Source organism: Homo sapiens, chromosome 2 (assembly GCF_000001405.40).
Source record: "Homo sapiens chromosome 2, GRCh38.p14 Primary Assembly".
NCBI classification, from domain to species: domain Eukaryota; kingdom Metazoa; phylum Chordata; class Mammalia; order Primates; family Hominidae; genus Homo; species Homo sapiens.
In genome coordinates this window covers 36,492,726-36,518,388 of record NC_000002.12, presented here as the reverse complement: position 1 = coordinate 36,518,388, position 25,663 = coordinate 36,492,726, and the positions used below count along the sequence as shown (strand labels likewise).

Here is a 25,663-nt window from a genome sequence, read left to right as displayed (position 1 = left end):
CTGAGCAGAAATGCTCTAAGAATATGTTTAGAAAGTAAATGGTTATTGATTTAAGTTGAAATATGGGAATAAGAAGCAACAACAACAAAACAAAACTAGTCCTGTCAACTTGATAATTTTATATTTAAATATCTTTTGAAAAAGTCACATCTAGTATTAATTAAAAGTACTACTAAAGTTATATAAAACCAGTAACTTATGATTAACATCTTGACAAATTTCCTTCTAACAAGTTTCATGGCCATACATTTACCTGCTAAGGTCAGATTATCTGAGAAATAAAAAGTAGAAAATAATAGCACTCCTTATACATGTGCAGTGCTAGTCACTTAATGCTTTTTGGCATTAACTTACTAATCATCCCAACTTGGAGGGGGTGGCATTATGCATATTTCAAAGTCTCTTCGCCACCCTTATATTTCAAAGAATTTTATTTACAAAGAATTTTGTTTACATTATTTATAAATAACTATTCTTCTCATTTGTTACATAAAGATGACTTTTCACAGTAACAGAATCGTTTGGTTAATTTGGTGCGGTGGGACTTTCTCTACTTAGGTATACGCCTCGAGTTTGAGATGCAGGGTTAAGGAAAAAAATTGGCAAGAGCAACAGTCTCCTTTTTTGTTTCACAGTCATCTCAGGTGTGAGGCATGCTGACTGCATAAATAGGTGGTTGATAAAGAGAATACATGCAGGAAGCAGGCTGCCAGCTGTTCCTGATGGGATACTGGGTTTGGCACACTCCCATATGGGGCTGATCCTGCCCTGTGGGTCCCACAGAATGACAACACCCAGAGCTGCATCCTTCCCCACCAAGCACCCACAAGGCATGGTGTCGCTTACCTGTACACTGTGGGCAGCAGGAATCCTGGGTGCGTGAGGGGTTCTGGCAGAGCAGCGGTGGGCACACCTCTGTCTCACACAGCACCCGTCCGCTGTGGCAGGTGCACTGAGTACAGGAGTCAATGTTCCACGTTTCTCCTTCCACAAAGTATTCTCCTCCAGGGGCGTGGCAAATGGAGGGAGTACTGAGCTCTGGCTTCTGCACCACAAAGTCATCTGGGAAATGACACAAAATCAGAACACATTATTCATCTGCAATCTTTCCAACTCTTGAAAGCCTGGTGCTGTTTGCTTTAAGGGATAGAAGAGATGAACTGTGAAGAGCATCTCGCTCTATTCTTATTAAGAGAATAGTGAAGAAAATATTCCATGCATGGAAACAGAAGACAATGGCAAAAGAGCTAATATTAGGACGTGAGGTTCAAGTGGTTTAAGTCTGTCAACAGTAATAAGAGAATTCAATAAGATCATTAAATTACAGGGAGGGGACTCCCACTCTAGAGATGAGAACAGGGGCCTCTTCTGGCATTTCTGTGAATGTGTAGGAACTGTCTCGGATTCAGATCTCTCATTTACAGAATACTTGGTACGGTTCAGTTATTTCCATGCTAAGCACTTCACATGTGTTATTTCATTTATTCCTTACAGTCACCTTATTTTATGCATGAGGAAACTGAGAGCTCAGGGAGAGACGAGGGAAACTGCAACCCAAGTCTATGGTTGTTTGGATCATGGATATGTCTCCAGATTAAATAAAACTTCCAAATGATCGATGCCCTATCTGCTTTATTATTTCTGGGATCCTGAGTACTTTTATGCTTGGAAATATGTCCTGCTGTCGAGCAGGCCACACCCCAATCTAAGCCAGCTGCCAGCAAACTGAGCAGGAATGCTCCTGTAGAATCAACAGTCTGAAAACCCTCACCTGAGACTAAACATGTGCTTGGCAATATCATCATGAAGAGAGGTAAATGCTGGCAGGCTGGTGAAAACTATCATTTCTTTCCCCAGAGGAGAGGTAGTTTTGGTCTCTTGGAGAGATGACACTGATAGAGAGGGAATTTAATGTTGAAAATGTCTGAAGAGGGGCTGGGAGTTGCCCTGAAGTTTTGCTGGGGAAATGAGAAGTATGAAGACATTAACCATAGTCACGTAATCCAAATGCAACAAGCACTTCAGGAATGTGTTGACAGTGTTGAATCCCGCCGAGAAAGAGTCTGGAGACATCACGGCTAGCTCATGCTTGGAGCTCAGTGGAAGTCACGCCCCAGAATGGGCCCATATATGCAGAGATGCTCAGAGCTGAAATCTTCTTAGGAGTGAATTGGGGCTATGACTTTCAAAGTGGTGGTTAGCATGAGAGTCAACAATACTAATGAAATTAAGTGATGTGGGCTGATTTCCAGTTAAGAGGGTAACAACTTCTAATACAGCTTTATCTCAAGGGAATTACAAAAGGCTGGAACTTAGACCCAGGGACAGTATCACAGAAAACTGATACTCATCAATCAATGCTTACATTCACAAGCAACTGTAACCAACTTTCCAGTATAAGAACAAGAGAGAGGAAGAGAATTACAATGAAAACTGTGCTGAACAAGATGGTAAATGTGCATCTGTGGTTTACAGAGAAACAAAAAGTCCCAAAGAGTATCGATAAATGAATATAGCAAAAGCCTCCCTTATTGCTTTCAAAAAGGGCTTAGAGAGGACTGACAATTACTGCCTTGTTAAATGCTGACATGTACGGAAGTGGTCAGAAGAAATCTGACGTGCGTGTTTGCAGGTATGCTTTCTGGCTCACCTTTTTGCCGTACGATATGCCTCAAGGCAAAACACAAGAGGGGCCAGAGACATGGAGACAAAAGAGAAACTCAAATGTAGAGTGTATGGAAGACAGAAAATCTGAGAGACACTATCATTTAGTAAATATTCATTAGAAGAGTTCGGGAGATACTCATGTATCCCAAGAAGAAAAACAGCTGATCTTGGAATGAAGAGGGGAGAAAAATATTCTTTAAAGTAGGAGTCCGTGAATGCAACAGCTCTGGAGTCTCTAATCAGAAGGAGGCTTATGTGGCAACATGCTAAAGATTTGCAGAAAACATTTACCTCTACACATCCATCTACAGAAATGTGTTTTCATACACGTATATCCAGATGTTGACACACCCACAGTAAGGTATCAACAACAACTTCACGTGTGCTTACGTAAGAACTTTCCATGACTCTGTAATAGAGAAAGATCTTTCTGGTTCTACTGATTTTCAGTTCTCAGGTCAATTATCCATTCTTAATGTCTTTGCATTTCTACCAATCTAGCTGTTAGAATTCTTCATTGAGGACATGTTTAGCAAAGACCCAGGTACAAATCCCTCCTCTATGCATTCACACCTATAATTAAAGCAGGGGTCTTCATGCAAACACATGATTTTTCCCTCCCCAAAGAGTCAACACAGAGTTCTATCATATTAAAGTCCTCATTTACCTTCTTATGCAGGGGACTCTAGCAGTTTTTCACACTTAACTAGCAAAATATCGGAAAAAAGGAAAGAGTTCTGACATGGAGCACCTCTAACTGAACTACAGGGAAACAAAACAAAATAAAAAGAGTCATCTCTTCTGCATTGTAATCTCGTTTTCTACAAGGTATGGGAGCTGCCTGTCACTCTGATACTGTAGCTATTGAGCTGTGCAGAATCTCAGAGCTGAAAGGGACTTCAAGTGTCCCTCTCCCCTGCTCCCCAACCATGGCGAACAAGGTCAGTTTCCCTCCCAGGCTAGTCTTGTTGCACAAGGACCAGGCCTCAGGCTCCCGGCTACACCTTTTGCACAGGTGGACTCACGCACAGGGAGATACAGGACCTGGACTGACCAGAGGAAAAACAATCATCCTCCAAAATCTGACAGTAGACTTAACTTTGAAAGAAATCTGATACAAGATTTGAGAGACTTCATTTCTCCCAGGCCTTTTGGTGGACATACTATTTTACTCTTGGTAAGACAGTCAATCTTTCTGTGTCTGTTTTCCAAATGAGAAACTGCCTCAATGTGTTTTTCCCTAACTCAAAGTGGCCTGCACAGAGAGGGAAATAATAGATATAAGACTGTGTTGAGCTCTTTGGATAAAACGTACTAGATGAAGTTTATGGTTATAATTACTGTTATTGACAATCATAATTCAGACTCCCTTGAATTACAAATCTGTTCTGGTTTTCTAGTAACTTATCCTGATTACCATGATTATGATTTTAAATGTTTTGGACGTGTGGTCACTCTAAATCTCTCCATTTGGCAAGAGTGCCACATGTCTATTAATTTAAAAAAGAGCAATAGCCACAGACTTCAAAAAGTTTCTCCCTCTCAAACATTACTTTAAATGTGATAAGGTTTTATGGGATAAAACTAGTACCAATCCCCTCATATTAATGAGGACATTCAGACTTAATATGCTATCAATAAAATGGAGAGCTGGAATGTAAGAACATCAGCCCACAAACCTTTACAAAAATGTAGTCCAAAGACCTTACATAACTGAGTCAATCATTCAAAAAGGAGGAGAGCCATTTCTACAATGATAGAATTTTCTCTGGTCTTTGGTTCTTCACTGATAGTGCCTGGATGATTCTGTGGTGGTGGTTGACAAAAACCACACAGTGCTGAAAAGTGTTCCAGGGGTTGTCCCCTCCAACCTCCCCAGAGTTACAAATGTGTCTAGGGCCCTGCAAGGCAGAAGTCATTTGCTTATGGAGCACACAGATGGCAGCCAGCTTTTACCTGCACATGATGGGCAGCACTGTCCAGGGTGAATGGTGGGGTTGCCACAGGCAGGCACCGGGCAGGTGATCAGGGCACACATTTCCCGTCCATTGAGACAGTAGCATTCCCGGCACCCATCGTGCCAGCTCTCCTCATTTTTATGATGATGACCATCCACGGTGAGACAAGTGCCCGACAGGATGGGTGGCCCAGCTGAAGCAGAGGCCTCTGGACAGACAAAAGGCAGCCTGGTAAAGAAGTGGCTACTGCACAGGAGAAACAGGCTACAGAGTCTGTACATGGACTGGACCCCAGCCACCAACAATTACGTCTAACACAGGACAGTTTGTGACATGGGACATGTTCATGAAAAGAATTTAAGTCAGTATGTTCTCAATCTTGAAAAAAGAAAAGAGAGAAAAAAACCGGCAAATAGTTTCTCTCCAATTCGTGGGATGATCGCTGATTTTTTATTCCTTCCACTGTACTTTCTCATATTTTATACAATAAACAAGCACTGATTTTATAACAAATTTTACAAATATGTTGAATGTATTCAGAAAAATCGCTCTAGAAGCTTCATCCAATGGGGACATCCTGGGCCCCTTGCAAATAACAGAGTTTTGTTCAGCAGAACAATTAAAGCAGTGACTAGATTTTTGTTTACTCCAACCCCTTAGAAACACCATTAAGGTGGTAACTGTCCAGTTTTGAAAAATCGTAAAACAAAGTTTAGGAATCTTTTATAGTTTAATCTGTGCATCATGCTGACAAGTACAACATAAAAAGGGATAGGCAGCAGGGCTGGAGCTGGGGTAAAGGCAGAAACGGCGGTCAGGGTGCATGCTCAGTGGCTTCAGGAAGCTCCCTGGAGAAGCCTCAGGCAGCAGGGATATCCAGGCTCTGTGCTTATTCACAGCTGTGGGCTGGCATGTGCTTATTCAGCCAAAGGCTAAATTCTCATGGAAAACTGTTATCTGGAAATACAGCAGCTAACTTCTGAGCTATACCCACCCTCTAGAACTTTGAAATGGGGCTATTTACTGTTGCAGTTTTATTAATCTTACTCCTGAACAGAGAGAAGCTCTATAGAGGTTCAGATAATTGTGCTTTAGGCTAAAGTTCCTGATAGAAGTAAAAAGAGCTAGGAAGTGATTAATTTAGTCAATGTGCTTGTCCATCATATACTTACTTTACATTCTATTCTGAGCTTTTACTTCATAAAAATGAAAGGAAAAGGGAGTCCTGTGGGACGGTCCCACAGAGACTGACATTTGTGTTAGAATAGGCAGCAACCACCGAAACCATTTCATTACAGGGTGTCCTTATGTTCCTTGTTTCGGTGCCCCTGGCTGCTTTGAGGGGGAAGGGCCATGTGTACACACTTACCTCTGCACTTGCAGATAAGACAGCCGTGACTGTCCTGCTGGAAACCCAAGGGGCAGATCTTACTGCATGAGAGCTCTGGACATTTCTTACAGCGACAGATGTCACAGCCGTGCTTATTCTTCCTGGGTAATTAAAATTTTGTCAGAGGTCAGAAAATCACAAAGTCTCAAATGATGCCCAAGCACTCAGACCAAGGGTCAATAAAGTGATATTGCTATTAAACAGAATGACTTGACTTTTGCTCTCAAAGATTCCTGGAGTGATGGGTAATTAGCTCCCTGTGGCCATTACCACCACTTACTCATGACCAAGGCAGAGAGTTGCCCAAGCACTTACGTGCTTCTAGGATGTGGCTCTCAGAATCTCAATGACATGACTGTTGATTTAATTAGGGAGAGTGGTACACCACAATAAAAAGATGAATGTGCAACTCCATGAATAGGAAAGTGAAGGAGATTTTGTTGGTTTATCTGTGTACTCATTTGTTTCTCCATCCATCCACCCACCCACCCACCTACGATCCATCCGTCCCTCCCTCCCTCCCTCCCTTCTGGAAGTATCTGCTGCATGCAGAAAGTAATTCTTTAGTCAGCAGGTACATAAAAGGGGCACCAACTGCTGCCTTCATCCTGACACTCCCACGTGGTGTCTGGCCAAGAATTCTCTTTTGGTGTGTGTCCTTAACACATGTGTTCTAGCCAGTATAATATTCAGTTGTCCAAGGTGTCCAACTGGGTCCTCCCTGAATGTGCTGACAGGAATACAAAGTGAAATCTACAATCTCCTAAGAGATTTTTCTCCAACATGACGGTTGGATTTGAACACAGCCTTGATTCTGAACTGTCATGATACTGTAGCAAGTGGTTGAAGCTACCTACTATTGTGATACAACTACTTCATTTTATATGAGCAGTTAGGCTAAGACATAATACTCTTATTGACATCATATTCTTATTTTAGGATTAAGAATGATGATGATTCATTATTTTATTTGGGGAATTTTACGGAACAATGTTTCCAATTTAATTATCCAATGAAAATTATAAAGACGACCCCTCCCAAACCTAGAATTTTTAAATGAAGAATGAAAAAGATGACTGACAGAAGATGGGAAAGAGATGATAGGTCTAAGTCCCTTATAATTACTAGCACTAGGCCAGGCACAGTGGCTCATGCCTGTAATCCCAGCACTTTGGAAGGCCAAGGTAGGCTGATCGCTTGAGCCAGGAGTTCCAGATCAGCCTGGGAAACATGGTGAAACCCCATCTCTCCAAAAAATACAAAAATTAGTTGGGCATGGTGGCGCATGCCTCTAGTCCCAGCTACTCGGGAGGCTGAGGCTGAGGCTGAGGCTGAGGTGGGAGGACTGACAGCCTGGGAGGTTGAGGCTGCAGTGAGCCATGCTTGTGCCACTGCACTACGGCCTGGGTGGCAGAGCACTACCCTGCCTGAAAAAAAAAAAAAAAAAAAAGAAAAGGAATCTAGCACTACATAAACATATCAAATTGGAAAGACAGATTGAAATGAAAGAAAGACAGCAAAGGGAAAAATATAAATTAAGGTGATTTTTCTAAAGGCATCAACCTGATATAAAGGCAAATATAGGTGCTTATACAGACACGAAAGAAACAAATATGAAGTGTCTATTTCCCCCCCTGGAATAATCTAGATTCTCATGGGGTTTGACTCAATAAAGTATATTAAAAAATAAAAGTAATGGCCCTTAGCTCCAAGAAAATTCATAAAAATCTAACGCTAGATAAAGAAAAAAATACGAAACGCTGACTAGTTCCAAGGTGAGACACCTAGGCATGGCAGCTAAGGATGCACTGTATTTCAAGTGAGTGGGGGGTCGGTCTTCAATTGATCTTAAAGTATGTGTTAAATAAATGATCACAAATAGACCTTGGGACAGGTGTGAAGAGTTGTAGCACTTCCAACACTGGGACCTCACAATTCCATCTCCTAATCTTGCCAGCAGTGTCTAAAGGACTCTGCTATGGGAAAGTCTCATATAACAGGCACAAAGGGTGTGTCTGGCCCATGTCCATAAAAAGTAAAAGTAAAACTTGATTCTTTTTTTTTGGAGATACAACCTTCTCCCTGCTTTCTGAATCACCTAACAAAACAAGTATAGACATTCTGGGCTCAATATACCATAGATTAATTCACAAACAACATATAAAACAAAATGTGTAGAAACATTTCACCAAGTTGCACTTCATAATAGCTTTTCTGAATTAACAAATACGTACAGCAATCCAAGTGGACAATACTTGTCACAGATTATGGGTCTGCACTTCTTGGGCCTTGGGCGGCACTCACAGATCTCACAGTTTTGGGCATCAGTAAGGAAACCGAAGGGACAGTTCAAGGTGCAGCCTTGTTTACGTTCTGAACATAGTTCCTCGGCTGTGAAGACACAGAGACGGCATGTTTCTTCCAAAGATGAACAGAGCAGAACACTTCGATGCTGAAATACGGTCCCTGAATCCTCCACTCTTCCACAGATCTCAATTTCTCAGCTCTACCATGGCACTGGTTATCATTAAAAAGCATAGACTGTGCTATTTCATGGTTATCACATGACTCCATGTTTTGGTAATAATAAACAAAATAAAGTCCAACTTTGAAATGCATAGATTTCTAAAGTGTACTCAAATCTGGTAGGCTCTGAGTGAACAGCAGGCTGATAACTATTACAATTAATGACTGAGATCATTTTTCCATGAACTTTATAAATCACTTCAAACCACTGATGACCATTTACATTATGTGGGAATTAGAAATTTACAGTCCAATTTTCATTATATGTTTTATTTCTATTGCATGTCCATAATAATGCATGTCCTTTTTTCTTTTGTTGGAGACAGAATCTCTCGCTCTGTCATTTAGACTGGAGTACAGTGGCGTGATTTCGGCTCACTGCAACTTCTGTCTCCTGGGTTCAAGTGATTCTCCCACCTCAGCCTCCCAAGCATCTGTGATTACAGGCATGCACCACCACGCCCAGCTAATTTTTGTATTTTTAGTAGAGATGCGGTTTCGCCTTCTCTACTAAATGTTGCCAGGTTCTTCTTGAACTCCTGACCTCAAGTGATCCGCCAGTGTCAGCTTCCCAAGTGCTGGGGTTACAGGTGTGAGTCACTGCGCCCATCCCATAACGCATGTTTTTAAATATCCACATGACAACTACTTTTATGGGTGTTAGATGCTATCATATAATACTGCATATTGTATGCAGCATAAGGGATTTCTTACTATTACTTTCAAAAAAGTACATCTTTTACAAAATGATAGTAATTAAAATATTCAGTGTTACATTTAGATATGTTTTTTCTCTATGTGCTGACAAATACCCCTGTATTTGGATATACTTACATAATAGGCTTTTTAGTTCACAGGCTAAAAAATGTGTGTGTTGAAAAAATACTCATATTAAGGTTTAAGTAACCACTATTTGAAGTGTTCAAAGTATCCCGTTAGCAGAATCTGGAGTGATGTTTAACTGTCCTCTGCTAGTCAGTTACAATACTATTTTAGAAGAGCAAAAAGGAAAGTAGCAATGGTGACTAGCAACATTACTGAAGTTATTAGCCTAATAGAAGTCTTCTAAAATGATTTTAAAAGGTTATATAGGGCTTACGAGAGAAAAGGGAAATAGAAATGTTTAAGGTTAAAAAGAAAAAAAGCATGCTTAATTATATAAAGCAAGCAAGTTGAGACCTGTGTGAATTAAATATAGAATTTGAAAGACAATCAAATTTAAAGAAGGGAAGTTAATATGGTGATGGCCAAAGTACAGCAATGTTTGAATATTGTTCTACATGGACTGGTGAAATGGGAAGCAGAGTCTAATTATTGGAATGATGAACAAATTTTTATTTTATCTGGCCGTCCTTTAAGCATGAATATTGTAATAACACAGAAGTCACTGGGAAAAACAGAACGCATCTGTCCCCTCAAAACACACTTATATTATAATCTAAAATTAAAACTTAACTACAATGAATAGGTGAAATGGGTCCGTGTTTTACATAAATATTTCAAGATAGCATCTTTTGTGAATCTCAGTTGGCAATATTTGCATATTTAATTTGCTATCTTTTAAGAAGGAAAATGTGATTTATGGTGTAATTTTCTACTCTGTCATTATCATAAACCTTTTATTACACATATAAATATAACCTCATGTGCCTGTATTACACTGTAAAGCAACTGATTACTAATTTGCATCCTTAAAAGAGAAATTCTAAATGGTTCATTTAGAAATTTGTAATTATATGACTTGAAAGGTCATAATTTTTCATTCCCCATTATTAAGGGAATGGTGAAAAAAGAAGACTTTATTAGTCATGTTTCTCTAACACAGATGTCAATTGTGAACCCATTTTTCTGTCACAAGAATGCTTAGGTCATGGCTACAAATGAATTATGTTGGGAAACAGATGAATTAAAAACACCCTGAAAACCTCCCAGAGTCAGTCAACATCCCTTGGGATTAAATTCCCTGCAATTTTGGAGCCTGAGCACCTTGGTGCCTTTATTTTTCTGGTCCTGCAATAAAGAAGGAGTTTTTCCACAGACCTTGATCTTGAATGTGCTTCACCTTTAAAGAAAACTGTTGTGTCTCCATTCAAGTTTAAACAATGTGATAAAAACTAGTCTGTAATCTACCTCTGCTTTGCAATGGAATGGAATTTCAAACAAAGGCTGGTACATTTAAATAAAAATACAGGACATTCATTAGAAGGAGACTGGCTATGCCTCCTAGGAGTGGGATGCTCTAGTGCTGCCCTGAATTGGGACCATTCTCCTGCATGTTATGCTCTGGCCCATCTACATTCAGCTTCCCAATAGAGGGAGCTCTAGGCCCAGGCCCTAGTATCTTTAGGCACACACTGTATAGGGACAACCATGGTATTTGGTACAGAGTGGGTATTCAACAACATTTGCTAACTAAATGCATCAATCAATGTTCTTGTTACCTACTCCTCCACTGTCATCAAGACTGCTATATTATCAGAGAAATGACAGCATGAAAATAACTTACTCTGATAACATTGAAATTTTCCTGAAATACTAGCACTTGCCAAAACATCTCAAAATACCATCTTCTAGTTCAGAAATAGACAACATTAAAAACTGGAAGGTAGTCCTAAATCCACATATGTCAATTATGAAGTTTTCTTAAGAGAAATGCATCATCATAGCAAACATTTAAATAAAGAGGAGACTGACTGCGGCTGGCTGGAACCTGTAATCCCAGCACTTTGGGAAGCTGAGGTGGGAGAATTGCTTGAGGCCAAGAGTTTGAGACCAGCCTGTGCAACATAGTGAGACCTTGCCTCTGCCAGAAAATAAAACATTAGCTGGGTGTGGTGGTGAGTGAATGTAATCCCAGCTACTTGGGAGGCTGAGGCAAGAGGATTACTTGAACCCAGGAGGTCGAGGCTGCAGTGAGAGCTGTGACTGCACCACTGCACACCAGCCTGGGTGACAGGGTGAGAACCTGTGTCTAAAAAAAAAATAAATAAATAAAAACATAAATAAAGAGTAGAAAAACAGTATTCATAGAAGGGTAGGGGTTTATATGTTTGTTTGTAAAGCTTTAGTACATCACTTGAGGCAACCACGCAGAAAAAGGTGGCTTTATGTTCCTAATTTTTCAGCGTCATGACTTTACCGTGATCTAAAATTGCTTTCTAATACATGGGGAGAAGTTACGATTGAAGAGAAAGTGATGAACAATGGCAAAGTACAGGGCCTGTACAGCATGGCCGGTCGATAGCAACTATGTAGTAAAACTCTGTTCATTCTGGAAAAATAGGAATGTTTGCTCCTATGCTCAAAACGTGACACAGCTGTCGGGGGCGCCATTCATTATATATAAATACAACGTAACCTCCATGGAGAACACACTGTGGATGGTGTCCCCTAGAGGAGTACTGCATACTTCTTTGCTGTAGTACAGCAGGTCCTCAAACAGCAATGGTTTTGTTCAACATCATTGTGTCATAACTTTTAGGAGGGGAATAAAAACCAGTTCTCGGTTGGGGCCACTCTCTGTGTGGAGACTGCATGTTCTCTCATGCTGTGTGGGTTTTCTCTGGGTACTCTCACATCCCAAAGATGTGCACGTTAGGTGAACTGGGGTATCTACATGGTCCTAATCTGAGTGTGTGTGTGTGTGTGTGTGTGTGTGTGTGTGTGAGAGAGAGAGAGAGAGAGAGAGAGTGTGTGTGTGTGTGTGTGTGTGTGCACCCTGCAATGGGATGGTGTCCTGTTCAAGGTCGATTCCTACCTTGCAGCTTGCAGAGCTGCTGGGATGGGCTGTGGCCACCCTCAACCCTGGACTGGAATAAGCAAGTTGGAAAATAAATGAGTGAATAAATACAAATTCTTATAAAATACAAATCTGTTAAAGCAGGTGATAATCACACAAACGTACAACAATAAACACTGCAGGACAACAGCGTTCAGTGAGCCTGCCACACTGGGTATGGTATGTGTTTGAACTGCATGGCAGAAGGAGGTGCTCCTTACAATGTTTGCTTTGCAAACATTTATTCGTTGATTCAACACAGCACCACTACAACCACTATCACTCACTGATTCATTAAAAATGGGGAATCATCATTGTACTTGTTTTTTGTTAACCTTTCTTAAATGTATATATAACTCATGCTTACTTTAATTGTTACTATTAGAAATGTTTTAGGTCTTTATTTAGAAGTTTGGTGATGTTTTCGTGACCAGAAATATATGGTAGGAACTTAACTCTTGTTTATATCAATTAGCCTCTGGTAAAACTGGTTTTGTTACATGTCATTCAACACAGCACCACTACAACCACTATCACTCACTGATTCATTAAAAATGGGGAATCATCATTGTACTTGTTTTTTGTTAACCTTTCTTAAATGTATATATAACTCATGCTTACTTTAATTGTTACTATTAGAAATGTTTTAGGTCTTTATTTAGAAGTTTGGTGATGTTTTCGTGACCAGAAATATATGGTAGGAACTTAACTCTTGTTTATATCAATTAGCCTCTGGTAAAACTGGTTTTGTTACATGTCATTTCACGTAAAGTCATAGTTTCCAAGAATCTACAGAGGATGTTAAGTGAGGACTTAGTGTATTTTAAACTCTTAGATGCTGGCAATTCCTACAAACCTATTATCAGTTCAGGATGGCCATGAAGTTCCCAAGACTACTAAGTAAAGAAATGCAACATTACAAATGGTGGTCCCAATTTTGACCCTGATAGGTGTTAGTTTAGAATTACAGTGAAATAAAACAAGGAGCCTGCCTCCCTATATTTGATGCTGCAACCTTCTTGTGATGTTTGATTCAGATACATATTTCATGAAAAATATGAAGGCTCTTTCCTCTCTGCTGACTGATGCAGAATTCTACAAGTCTGCATCAGTTTCTAGAAAAAGCACTATTAATGTCTACAATTAAAGAATGTTAAAATTGGAAGAGAACTTACAAATAATCTGATCAAATCCACTTGATTTAAAGATGTGTACACTAAGATGCCAAAAGACTGATGCTACTTAATTCATGCAGATGCCTTTCATACAGAGTTTATGTAGTAAGCAGGTATATTACGTCTATTAGCAAAAGACACTGGTTAAAGAGCAATGTTGTTAAAAGCTTGTATCTACAAAGTGTTAGGTTACTAGTTGCTTTATATCATTTTAAAATCATTTTAGTTTTAAACTTTGTTGCTATCATACTTTTAAAAACATTTTTTATTCTAAACAAGTTTTTGAGGAACTGAGTCAGGGATAATGTAAACTTTCTGTATGTCCTGGAGTACTACTTTTCTTAGTGTTACAAGAATGTTATTTGTTACCGATTAAAACGGCAAATTACGTTATGTTCAAATGAAAGAATTCTGTATCATATACTTGCCACATACTTTTGAAGCACATGTTTCTATAGGGTTTTGATTTCAATCCTAATGTGACTGCCTAAAATATGCTAGATTATGTTGTCTCTTTACAACATATTAACATATGACTAATATTACCAACAAATTACCAATGTGAGTCAAGGGTAAGGACTATTTTTAATCTTCTTTAGGATATAGTAGGCACTCAACAAATGCTAGATGAATAAAATAATGAGTGAATGAAGAACAACAAATCAACGAAGACAGAAGAAATACTTGTGGGGTGCTGGCCTTGTTTTAAGAAATCTTGAAGGGCCAGGTACGGTGCCTCACACCTGTAATCTCAGCACTTTAGGAGATCGAGTCGGGCAGATTGCTTGACGCCAGGAGTTCGTGACCTGCCTGGACAATGTGGCAAAACCTTGTCTCTACAAAAAAATACAAAAAAAATGAGCTGGGTGTGGTGGCAGTGCCTGTAGTCCCAGTTACTTGGGAGGCTCAGGTGGGAGGATCGCTTGAGCCTGGGAGGTTGAGGCTGCAGTGAGCTGTGTTTGCACCACTGAATTCCAATCTGGGTAACAAAGCAAGACCCTGTATAAAAAAAAAATCTAGAAGCTAATGGAAACTAGGCCTAATCCTTAAGAGAAAACAGGTATAAATGCTTAGGACTACTGTATGTGAAAAAGGTTTTGATGGGATGCAGAAAAATAATGTAAGGGTGAATTTGGGACAAAATAAATACCTATATAAAGCAGCTGCAATAGAAAAAAAACAACCTATTATTCCATAGTTGGCTATAAGAAACTCCCTTCTCTAAAACCAAGGAGGAGAAAGATAATATTTGAGGGTTACAATGAAATGAAAAAGTAAAAGGAAAGCTGTTGGTGTGAGTGTCCTTAGAGGGCAGGAAGAACTGGAGGCAGGCTGATGGGGTGGGAACAAAGGGGGGCGGGGACGCTGGGGGCTTTCCATGTTGGCTAGCTTGGGCCGACTCAGAAGAAGATGCTATAAAATAGTTACAGTGCAGAGTAAGCAACGGCCATATGCCAGCCAGAGTTAGCTTTGCATTCATTCATTTATTTAGTCCTCAAAATAACCCATTAGTTAGGTACTATTATTTGCCCTTTACATATGTGGACACAGAGTCCCAAAGAAGTAAAGCAACTTGCCTTTATTACCCATGTGGAAGTCAGCATAATTTGTGGTGGACCCAAGATTCAAACCCAGGCAGTCTGACTCCAGTCACACTCTCAGCTTCTGTGCAACACAAAAGCTGCTGTGCAGAGCCTGAGAGGAGAGTTGCATACGATCGCAAGAATCTGACAAAACCCAGGACCTGGAAATTTGGTTTGATTTGACTGACATCCCAAAGGTGTGGCTTCCAAAGTTGCCAAATAACCTGGATTGCTAATACGAATGGGGGAGGTGACAGCAGAATGCTGTATGTCTAGACTTCTGTATAGGACAACCTGAAAAATTCCAATCAGTGTTGAAGTAAGTCTTTAGGTATACAGTGGGGCAGTGAGCGAGATGACAAGACTAACTTTAAGAAGAATCCAAAATAAGATGGATATATTATTAGAATAGCAAGACCTCAAAGGGAGATCTCAGGCAAGAATGATATCCAAAGGCATCTCTGATCCTGAAGGTTTCCTTTTTATTCACTCAGCCAGTATCTGCTGAGCACCAAGTAGAGCCCTGGGAGACGGGCAGTTCTTTCTCTACTCTGGTGTGAACATAAGCCTGGGTTCTGCTGAAGGACCAAAGCTTCCTCTTAAAATAATTTACATTTGTACGTTATAGCTTTTGGCTTAAAGTAGTGATATTTCATGAGTGTTTATGCTACAGAAGACTTTTTTCCTTAGGGAAGGTCTTGCATTTTAGTCATCTTTGTGGCCTTAATACCTAGAATACTACCTAGAATGTGGCAGGTGCTCTGTTTATATTAGGTGAAAAAAGGAAGGAAGGAAGGCCAGCTATCTGTATAAATGGGTACAATTTGCAAATAATAAATTTATTGATACAAAATGCAATGGTCTCCTCCTGTACCTATTTCTTCCTAAGTGTGAATGAAACAGAGGTGCACTCAGGTAGCACATGCTGATGATCCTTTTAAAATGCCAAACAAAACACTAACCTAAAGATAGGGTAAATATGCATCCTCCTTATAGTCTCAACTTGCCAAATGACTATTTGCCAGTGACTATTTGCCAAGGGACATATTTTGACTCTTCCTTCAAAGGCAGTTGAGGGAAACTGCTTCTTTGAACTTAATGATGAAAGATTCCGTGTGAAGTGACCGAAGTCTTAGATAAGCATGACCGGGTGGCCAAGATTTCACAATAGCAAAACCCAGGCGCAAGTGTAGGTGAGGTGACTGGACACAATGAAATCTGTATTTTTAGACTTTTTAGAAACTCAGAAAAAATGTATTAATATATATGATCCCATGTTAAGAAAGATGTAGCTTTCTTAATGTAAGAGGCATTAGAAGGATTAAAATATAAACACTTCATGACAATTACTAATTATCTTGTTCAAAAAACAAGGTTGGCCATTTGAGAAAACTTGGGCTGCCAAGGCAACTCTAGTGAACTTGGCTTTCTAAAGGGAGGTATAAAAGGCAACAGGGACTGACCCTTCCCCGAACAGAATCAAGTGTAGGAAGTCAGAATACCCCCAAATGGGTAGAGGCTTATAGGAAATTTAAAGATGGTAGTAACTACAAGCTCAACAAGAGTTTTTTTTTTGTTTGTTAGTTTTTTGAAAAAGGGTCTTGCTCTGTCACCCAGGCTGGAGTGCAGTGGCACAATCACAGCTAGCTGCGGCCTCGACTTCCCGAGCTCAAGAGATCGCCCCACCTTAGACTCTTGAGTAGCTGGAACTACAGGCCCTTGCTATCATGCCTGGCTAGCTTTTGTATTTTTTTTTGTAGAGATGGGGTTTTGCCATGTTGCCCAGGCTGGTTTCGAACTCCTGAGGTCAAGCAATCCATCCACCTTAGCCTCCCAAAGTGCTGGGATTATAGGTGTGAGCCACCACGCCTGGCCAACAGGCGTTTTATAAACTCAGTTTTAGCACTAACGCCACTGTAGATAGTGTGATGGTCACATGTAACTGAGGAAGCAGAATGGCTTAACTCCTATTTTGTATCTTCTTCAAAAATATTTTTAAAATAGTGACAAATAATTAAGGTTAAGTGGTATGTTAAAGCCTGAGATAACTGATAAATCAGAAAGTGAGCATCTGTCTACGTTAAGTCCAAGTCTCTGAGCCATGGTAATTACAACCACAGGCCCACAGAAAGCCCGCTTATTACAGAACCAGTACTGTGTGTGAGAGAGATCGAAGAGAATGGAAAGAGATTTAAGAAAATAGGCCAAATGTCAATTCAAAAGGGACAAAGTGTTCTAAAAACTACATAAATTGACATTCACAACTGAAAATTCTTCAGAAATAATTGTTAAATATATGATTTGTGACATTTAGGGGAATAAAGCACTGACTACCAGGAGCCAGTACAGATTCTGGAAAAATAAGCCAGGCCCCTATAACTTCAGCTCATTTTAAAAATAGGGTTTCCAGCAAAGGAATGCTCTGATGTATTTTGCAATATATTTTGACTTCAGACAAGATACGGGCGAAGTGTCTTTCAAGATTTCTTGTGGAGATATATGTTGTCAGCTAAATAACTCTACTCAAGGTATAAATGCTTAGGACTACTGTAAGCAGCTATGTTCAGCATCATTCTGCAGGTCTTTGTCCTTGGTTCTGTGCAGTTTATTTTAATTCAGTGATTTAGATAAGGATATATAAGTTGTGCTTATTTAATATAAGCTGGGAGGCATAAAGTATAAGATCACATTATTGAGATTCAAAAATATCCCAACTAGTTAGAAAATGGTTTAAAATGATTCGGATAATTTCTTGTTATATTTGGCCGGGTATTTATATCGTTTAAAAAAAAAATCAAACGTTCTATTACAGAACAGATGAGAACCACCTAACAGCAGGTGATGTAAAAAAGTTCCTAGTGTTTTTAGCTACTTATAACCTCAATATCAGCCAACGAAGTGCAATTCAAGGAGCTAATGCAAACTTAGGCCACACAGTAGCACTGTATTCAGCAGACCAAATTGTGGAGTACCTTTTTCTGAGACAGTGTCTTTTGCTGTCATCCAGGCTGGAGTGCAGTAATGCGCTCTCAGCTCACTGTGACCTTTGCCCCACCAGGCTCAAGCGATCCTCCCACCTCAGCCTCCCGAGTAGCTGGGACCACTGGCGCATACCACCATGCTTAGCTATTTTTTTTTGTATTTTTGGTAGAGGCTGGGATCTCGCCATGTCGTCCAGGCTGGTCTTGAACTCCTGAGCTCCAGTGATCTGCCTGCCTTAGCCTCCCAGAGTGCTGAAATTATAAGCGTGAGCCACCATGCCTGCCCATTCTGGAGTATCTTGATTGTGGGCCATATTTTATGTAAAGACAATGACATATTGTGTGTCAAATGATGGTAAAGATCAACAAAGTTCTAGGAACTGTCACCTGAAGAATGGTCAAGGAGAATGAGGATGTTTATTCCGGCAGAAGAATTAGGGGAATTCGAAATGGTTTTAACATATATGGGGGTGGGGTGTGTGTGTATTATTTTATTTTTTTCTGGAAGAAATACAATATACTCTTCTATACTCTAGAGGGCAGGGCCTGGATACATGATTGGAATCTGCATGGAGGCAAAGCTGGGGTCAACAAAGTGAAGCACAGTCTAAGGATTATGGCTGTCATATGCGGAATGTGACACTGTATGCGTGGGTGACCTCCTTGTCACTGGATGACCTGGCAAGTGTACTAAAGGGAGAGCGTTCTGGGTGGCTGGAAGGATGCACTCCAAAGCCACTCCAGGTTGCACTCCTGATGCAACTGGCCATCAAGGAAACAGAGAAAAAAACACAATAAAGCAGCAGCTCCTTTCTCCCAAATGACTATGTATTTGTTTGTGTTAAAAATAACTTTTTTCCCCTTTTTTTCAGGTTGTCAAGGGAATGTCTGAACAGAAGTGAAAAAGATATTCAATTACATAATATGCTTTGACAATATCATATTAGGCCTCAGAAAAAACATACAGTCTTCTGTCTACTCACTGTTTATGCACTGACAGGTCCGACAACCATTGTGATCGCGTTTGAAACCATTAATGCAGTCCTTCCCTGTCAGAGTGCAGTTTGATAACTCCCCACATGCAGGTGGATCAACTGTGATGATGGTTGGTTCTAATAATAAATAGAGAAAAAAATAACCAATGAAACATATGATTACCTTTTAGATGCTATTCAATTTTTGAAATTCCACACCATAATGTTACAAAAATCAAATCAGTAATTGTCATCAAATCGTAAACTTTTATGCTCCAGTAATATCTTTAACCCCTGAAACAGATATATTTGTGTTCAGATTTTTGAAAATGTGAACACTCTGCTTCTTTGCGTTTGAGCAATTCATGCAGTTTTTGGTACCTTCACACAATTCTTCTCTGATGGTCACCACTACTGGAAGCAGACGAGAGAGGTTAACATGAACTCTGTTTAAATTGTTAACTGCTCTTCTATTTCTTCCTGATGTTTTCCGGTTTATTTTTTATAATAATCAGGATACAGCTGTCAACTATCAATTATCTCAGTCCCATTCTGTAATACTTCTGAAATCGGTTACTATTTTTTTTCCAAATTAATAAATCAGTTTTTGAGACTAGCTTAAAACACCTGGATTTCTTTTATCTTTTATGTGGCACTCCCTCACTTATGGTAGATGATACGACAGATAACTACACACTTATCCTCAGGGCCCAGAGACTTGTGGGAGCAGAGGGAGATACACACATTCAGGACAAAGAGTGAGCAGCCATGCTGGGAATAAGGGCACTAAACAAAGCAAGACCAGAGGTGACGCTTTACCATATTAATGAAGAATTGCTTTGGGTAATAACGGTAACTACATATACTTACATAAAGCATATTATGTATTTATATAAGGTTTAAAGTGCTGTTCATAAATGCCTTCCAGCTTTACCATATTCCAATGAGGTGGGTGCTATTATTATCCTCAATTTACAGATGAGGAAATCTAGCACACTGACCTGCCCATGGTTACAGCATTAGTTTGTGGTGGACCCAAGATTCAAACCCAGGCAGTCTGACTCCAGTCACACTCTCAGCTTCTGTGCAACACAAAATCTGCTGTAATGGTACCTGTTTCTCAATGCATCAATAAGGGACAGTTTATATAATGCCAGGTTGTGGGAACGGTGTTGCCAAAGGGAACAGAGGCACTGACATACTTATGCAACATCTTTTCAACAAAAATATACTAACGTCTTCAAAGTAAGCTGTTGCTCACAATATCTTTGTGAAAGAGCTGAGTATAGAATGTCTCTACCTACATTTTCGCAGATGGAAAATATGAGGTGCAGAGAGGGTAACTGGCTTATCTAAGTTTACATAGTAACCCAGTAGCAGGCTGGGAATAGAACAGAACAGAGGTTCCCAACCTCCTGTCCAACACTCTATCCATTAGTCCACACTGTTTTCTCAAGTTTCATCTCCTGTTACCAGGGAAGAGAGATCAAAATAAGTGTTTTAGCTGCCACTGCTGAGATCAAGAGTTCTAAATTTTTATCCATCTACTAAAAGGGGACAGTGATTCAACTCTTCACAGGTAGCAGGCAACGATGACTTACTAAAGAGATGCTTAGATCAGCATTCTCCCAGTAAAAATATGTATCAAGTGAGTATAGCACATTCTCTATTCTTATTACAAAGAACAGCATCTTACTAAAATTTTTATATAAACTTTTCACTGATGTAGTTTCTAATTTCCTTCAATAACCAAGGTATTCTTCCTGACAGATAACTGTAAACATCAAAAAATAACTAAAGTTTAGTTGTTTTAAGACATCCTGAGTTAGCGTATTGCTGCTCCCCTCCATTCTCTTAAAATTTACTGCAAACATCTTTAGTTCTCAAACCTATTAGTCTTTCTTTTATCACTACTTTTCTTAGCTACCCCAAATAATGATTCTATTCCAGTCTTCAGTCCCAAGACTGCCAATGTTTTGTCAAAATTACTCTAACCACAAATATGAGAGAGCGTAGAAGGCAAGTATCAGGTTTAAGTAAACCCACCACAGGTTATCCCAGTGAGAAAGGACTTCTATGTTCTAGAGCGATTAGGCCAAAGTTGAGGGAAGAATTCTGAACTCTAGGCACACTGCTTTCCTGGACAGCTTATGGGTAAAGAAATGTCTTAAGCATATCTACACATACCAAAATCTTCTATTCTTTACTGACATTTAATATGTGAAATTTATGAGAAAATTTTGCCTTCAGAAAACATACTATGGAAAAGTATATACTGAAGATTAAACTGACCTTGAAAAATGTATAATCATCATATCATAGGGTAGTATGGAATTTTAGCAGCAGTGAATTTTAGGGATTTGCTTAGAGAATCCATCGTCCAACTTTTACAAAGATGATCTTCTACCTCTAAATGATATTTGCTCTCAATAGTGATGTATGTGCTGTTTTTTAAAAAATATATTAGATTAACATGCGATTAAGGTTGTGATCTGTGGCTAGAAAGTGAAAGGAACAAATGGACTGGGTTATTTGAGGATCAGAACCACAATGCTGACTTGGGCAGCCCCGTATCAGTCACAGAAGCCAATCTATCCAAATGGCTTCAACAGTTAGGTACACAGTCACAGATGTACATCTAACACACATTTCTCCAGGAGAGGAAATATGTTCAATATGTTTTCCTAAAATATTCAGCATAACAGGTTTTGTTCACTTGAACAAATAAAATTGCATAAAGGGCCGTTCAGTATGTGCTGGTCTTACAATGTGTGTGTTAAATATTTCAGGTAAAACAAGTCCCATGGGATACCTTCCAAGCCTCAACGCTGTAGCATGCAAGAAGCAAAAAATCATTTTGTGCCTCTGAAATTAGTATTTTCCCATTCACTTATGACCTATATTAGATGAAAGAAACAGGGAAGTACAGCCATTTCAAATTTTTATACCCTCAATATTTAACATTAAACACAGAAAAACACAACAAAATCTTTTATTCATGAAAACTTTCAATTTACATTAGAACTATTCAATTTCCCCTCAATAGATTAGGGTGAACACAACAATAGTCATTGTGATATGTTAAATATAGCTAGAAATCTAGGTTTTCTTAAGAAGACATTTTAACACTTGGCATCTCATTTTATTACATTTAACAAATACATCTCATTTTCCTACTCAGACACAAACTGGAACAAATTTTAAAGTTTTTTTCCGGGTGGTAACACATGTGTCTTGGGTCCTTACTGCTAATACCCTATGTAATTGGAGTAACTGTTGAGTTGTACACATTTGCAGGCAACTAGTTGTCTCCTGGCATTTCAATTGAAGTCATCCATTATAGTGTACTGCCTTTCGTCATTCTCCCAACATTTTAGTGCTTGGTTTCCTATCATGTGAGACCATAGCCAGAGTAGTTAGATTTCCATGAGAACAACATTACGACAAAAATATGACCGGTAAGTATATAGACTATCTACCTATTTATGAATTATCTAGAAAAAAATCTCACATTATTGTTAAACATATTTGAGAGTTTGCTTCCAGTCCAACATATTATTATATAATCTCAGAACTGATCCTATTACTAATGTCAGGGCAATTTTTTGGAAACAAGTGCCATGAGACAACTGAGATTCAATTTCTTATGCTAAATAATTAGCTCCAAAGTGAGACATATTTGACACTGTTCTCAATTAAAGCATTTCAAATCAATATTATATTTATAGTTCTTAAAGAATAATGACCAAGAGCTGGTCAGATTCTTAACATAGCTTTTATCCAAGAGAGTTCCTGGTGGGAGAAGAGGTGATTTTAAAGAATCTAGAATCATAGTATCTCAGTATGACTGTTTCTCATCCAAAAAAAAAAAAAAAAAAAAATAAATAAATAAATAAAGAGGCTTGAGGGAGTGTGAGCAAAGTATGTGAAATATACATTCTGCTTGTCTAAAAGTTAGAGCATTCTGAAATTTGCTCATCAGGAATTGTTATTATCCCAGACTTTTCTCTAGTCTATGCAACAGTGCTTTGAATACGGAAATTGCCTGTCGGATTTTGGTCTGAAGACCAGAAGATTCTCATTTAAATCCTACATTTCTGTGCTCCTATGTTACAGGGGGTATGGCACTGAAACTGTGTGTCGGAGAATACAAGCCTTTCTAGGATGATGGTGATCCCCTATCTTTGGCGTGTTTCGTAAACAAAGTTCAATTGAACAGAGGTCCTGCTAAGATTTCTGGCGGCACTGATGCATCCCTGTACATGATACTTGCTGCTTGGAGCAAAGAAAACTGTCCCCCGTTAAACTAGCTTGGTAGAAATGTGTTAGTAGGCCTCTTTCAAAGGAGAGAAATGTTCTTAGATTTCCTCATTTAGGAGAATGAGGAAATCCTTGCACAGAGGTGGGGTTTTGGAGAGGGGAAATTCAGTGAAGTACTGTTTATAGGATCACCTTGAAATTCTATCTCATCTTGTATTGAATCAGCTGAGGAATCAAAGAAATACCTTAATGTCCTCCAAAGGAAGAAGGCTTGAAACAGCAGGAATTCACTGTCTTTGGCTACAACTATTTCTAAAGGGAACCCTCCAACAGCTTCCTTGTGGAGAAGAATTCTAAAATATTCTGAGCCTAGAAGCAATAAAGAACAAAAATGGGTGTTTGTTATGTCTACATTGGTTTGCTGTTTTCTACTCAGCATCTGAGTGGGAAACTTTCCTCTCCTCTACCTGTTGTTTTCTTGAACGATTTTTAGAGACCCTCCAAGCACCTTACACTGTCCAGAAGAGCTATTTTTAAAGAACCCTTGGGATTGTGTCAGGAGTGCAGATGCTCAGCCACCAATTCTTATCCCAAGTCTTAGAAAACAAAATTTTGAAAGAAAATATCTTCTAACGTGCAATAACATACACAAACACATGTTGATTCTTTATTTTACATTTATTAAAAATTTAGGGTTACTTCTTTCATAACCTAAAAAGCCTAACAGATGTCTTGTCAGTAAAATTATTTCCAGGAAAATGTTAGTATTTTTTACAAATTAGAGAGCTTCAGACACTGTTATTGAAAAACACCATCGGTATTTTATATTGATGCTCACATATTTCCTAGGAGCAATTTTATCTACTCAATGGCGAAATTAAGCTACTGGGATCACAATTAATTTGATTAAAAATATAAAGTTAAAATGAAAATCATGAATCTAACTTCAAGGCCACGGTACTAAACCATAAATACATATTCGGTTATTCAGGTGTTATAAATGTGTTAAGCAAACAAATCTAAGCTCTCTACTTTCTTGCCTTTTGTTAGTTTATTTTATGAGAAATTCTCCAAAAACTGGCCAAGGAAGTAAGAAGCTGAAACTCAAATTCAGCCTTTTAAGATGCTGGTATAAAGTTTGTAGATCAGTCTTACCCTCACATTATATAGTTCAACAACTCTGGGAGAACAATAAAAATGAACATACTTTGATCCTCAGTTATTTTTAAATGTATAATTATATATATTCACTTCTGAAACAATACAATAATTTTTATATTTCAGGTATATGTAGCCTAAATGACAATATTAATGGATGCTTTTAAATTGCTGTCTAATCTGTATTACTCCACTGAACTGCTGGTTTTGAATTAATCCATACAAGGTTCTTAGATAGATTACTATGAGCTGGTTCTCCCTCAGAAATAATATTAATTATCTCCTTTGAGAAATGTGTGAAGCACTCTTTCTGATTAGCAGCCCTGGGAAAGCTGACAACCAATTAGCAGTTCTTGAGTATGGGTGGGTGACTCTGTAAATGTACAACTGTGGAAGGCATACACAGCCATCCCTGTTGGGTCTGTGTGTAGTACTGTCTTGTCAGGAGGGTAATTAACTCTGTTTCCAGATTCTGATGGTCTCTAGGACTGCTGCCTCACTGTGCTGTCCTCTGGTAAACTGCAGGCCTGGCTGTGGAAAGCAGCTGTCTGCCAGCACCCTCTGTTCCTATGCATTCATATGCACACACACCCACACACTAAGAAAAGTCTTTCTGGAAAAACCTCTTTGTAGGCAAATTTCTAGAAAACAATGCTTTTTTTTTTCCTTTTTATTTATTTTTCTTCTTCTTCTTTCGAGATGAGGTCTCACTATGTTGCCCAGTCTGGTCTCGAACTCCTGACCTCAAGCAATCTTCCTACCTCAGCCTCCTAAAGTGCTGGGATTACAGAAAAAGTACTTTTTAAAGACACACACATTCTTACATTTCTTTACAAGTGAAAAAATACTCAGGTGGAAGTATTAAGATAAATGAAGCTAACAATTCCTATCTGTCTCTCGTTTCTCTTATTACCTCTTCTTTCAGGCTTTAATAATGCTTTGCAGATTTTACATAGCTCTTCTTTGTAAATTCCCAAGCCTGCTTATTTGATTATGAGAGACAAAAATGAACAATTATGCTTTCTTTTCAGACTTACTTCAGGCGCTCTTTCTTAAGGTAGTTTTATTTTTCTATTTTGGGCAGGGATTGGGGGGTTGGAGGGGGCTGAACGTGGTTAAGCAACGTGAATATCCAATGAGTAGGAAAATTCCAAAATGTCACTGACTTGACATGGCAGTTCAATGGCTAAATATATCAGGTCTCCTAGCCAGG

At 39.0% G+C, this 25,663-nt stretch overlaps 1 protein-coding gene across 14 annotated transcripts in view, besides 1 other annotated feature; it reads right to left on the bottom strand.

Moving 5' to 3' along the window:
- CRIM1 (cysteine rich transmembrane BMP regulator 1) overlaps positions 1-25,663 on the bottom strand; it is a 195,358-nt gene that overhangs the window by 32,747 nt on the left and 136,948 nt on the right. For all 14 annotated transcript variants that reach the window (XR_007076383.1, XM_011532898.4, XM_011532899.4 and 11 more), the window contains 5 exons: positions 19,042-19,170; positions 8,250-8,406; positions 5,995-6,116; positions 4,624-4,833; positions 847-1,062 (listed from right to left, as the gene is read on the bottom strand). Coding sequence is in view for 13 of the 14 variants with exons in the window: in XM_011532898.4 (XP_011531200.1) it covers positions 847-1,062; positions 4,624-4,833; positions 5,995-6,116; positions 8,250-8,406; positions 19,042-19,170 (834 nt within the window). In the remaining variant the exon portion in view is untranslated. The remainder of the gene's footprint in view (positions 1-846; positions 1,063-4,623; positions 4,834-5,994; positions 6,117-8,249; positions 8,407-19,041; positions 19,171-25,663) is intronic.
- Positions 10,452-10,996: an enhancer, noted in NCBI's record as "OCT4-NANOG hESC enhancer chr2:36734536-36735080 (GRCh37/hg19 assembly coordinates)". NCBI's record gives its function as "activates a minimal SCP1, AML or CMV promoter by ChIP-STARR-seq in primed H9 embryonic stem cells {active_cell/tissue: H9 hESC(primed)}" and the evidence as "EXISTENCE:reporter gene assay evidence [ECO:0000049][PMID:30033119]".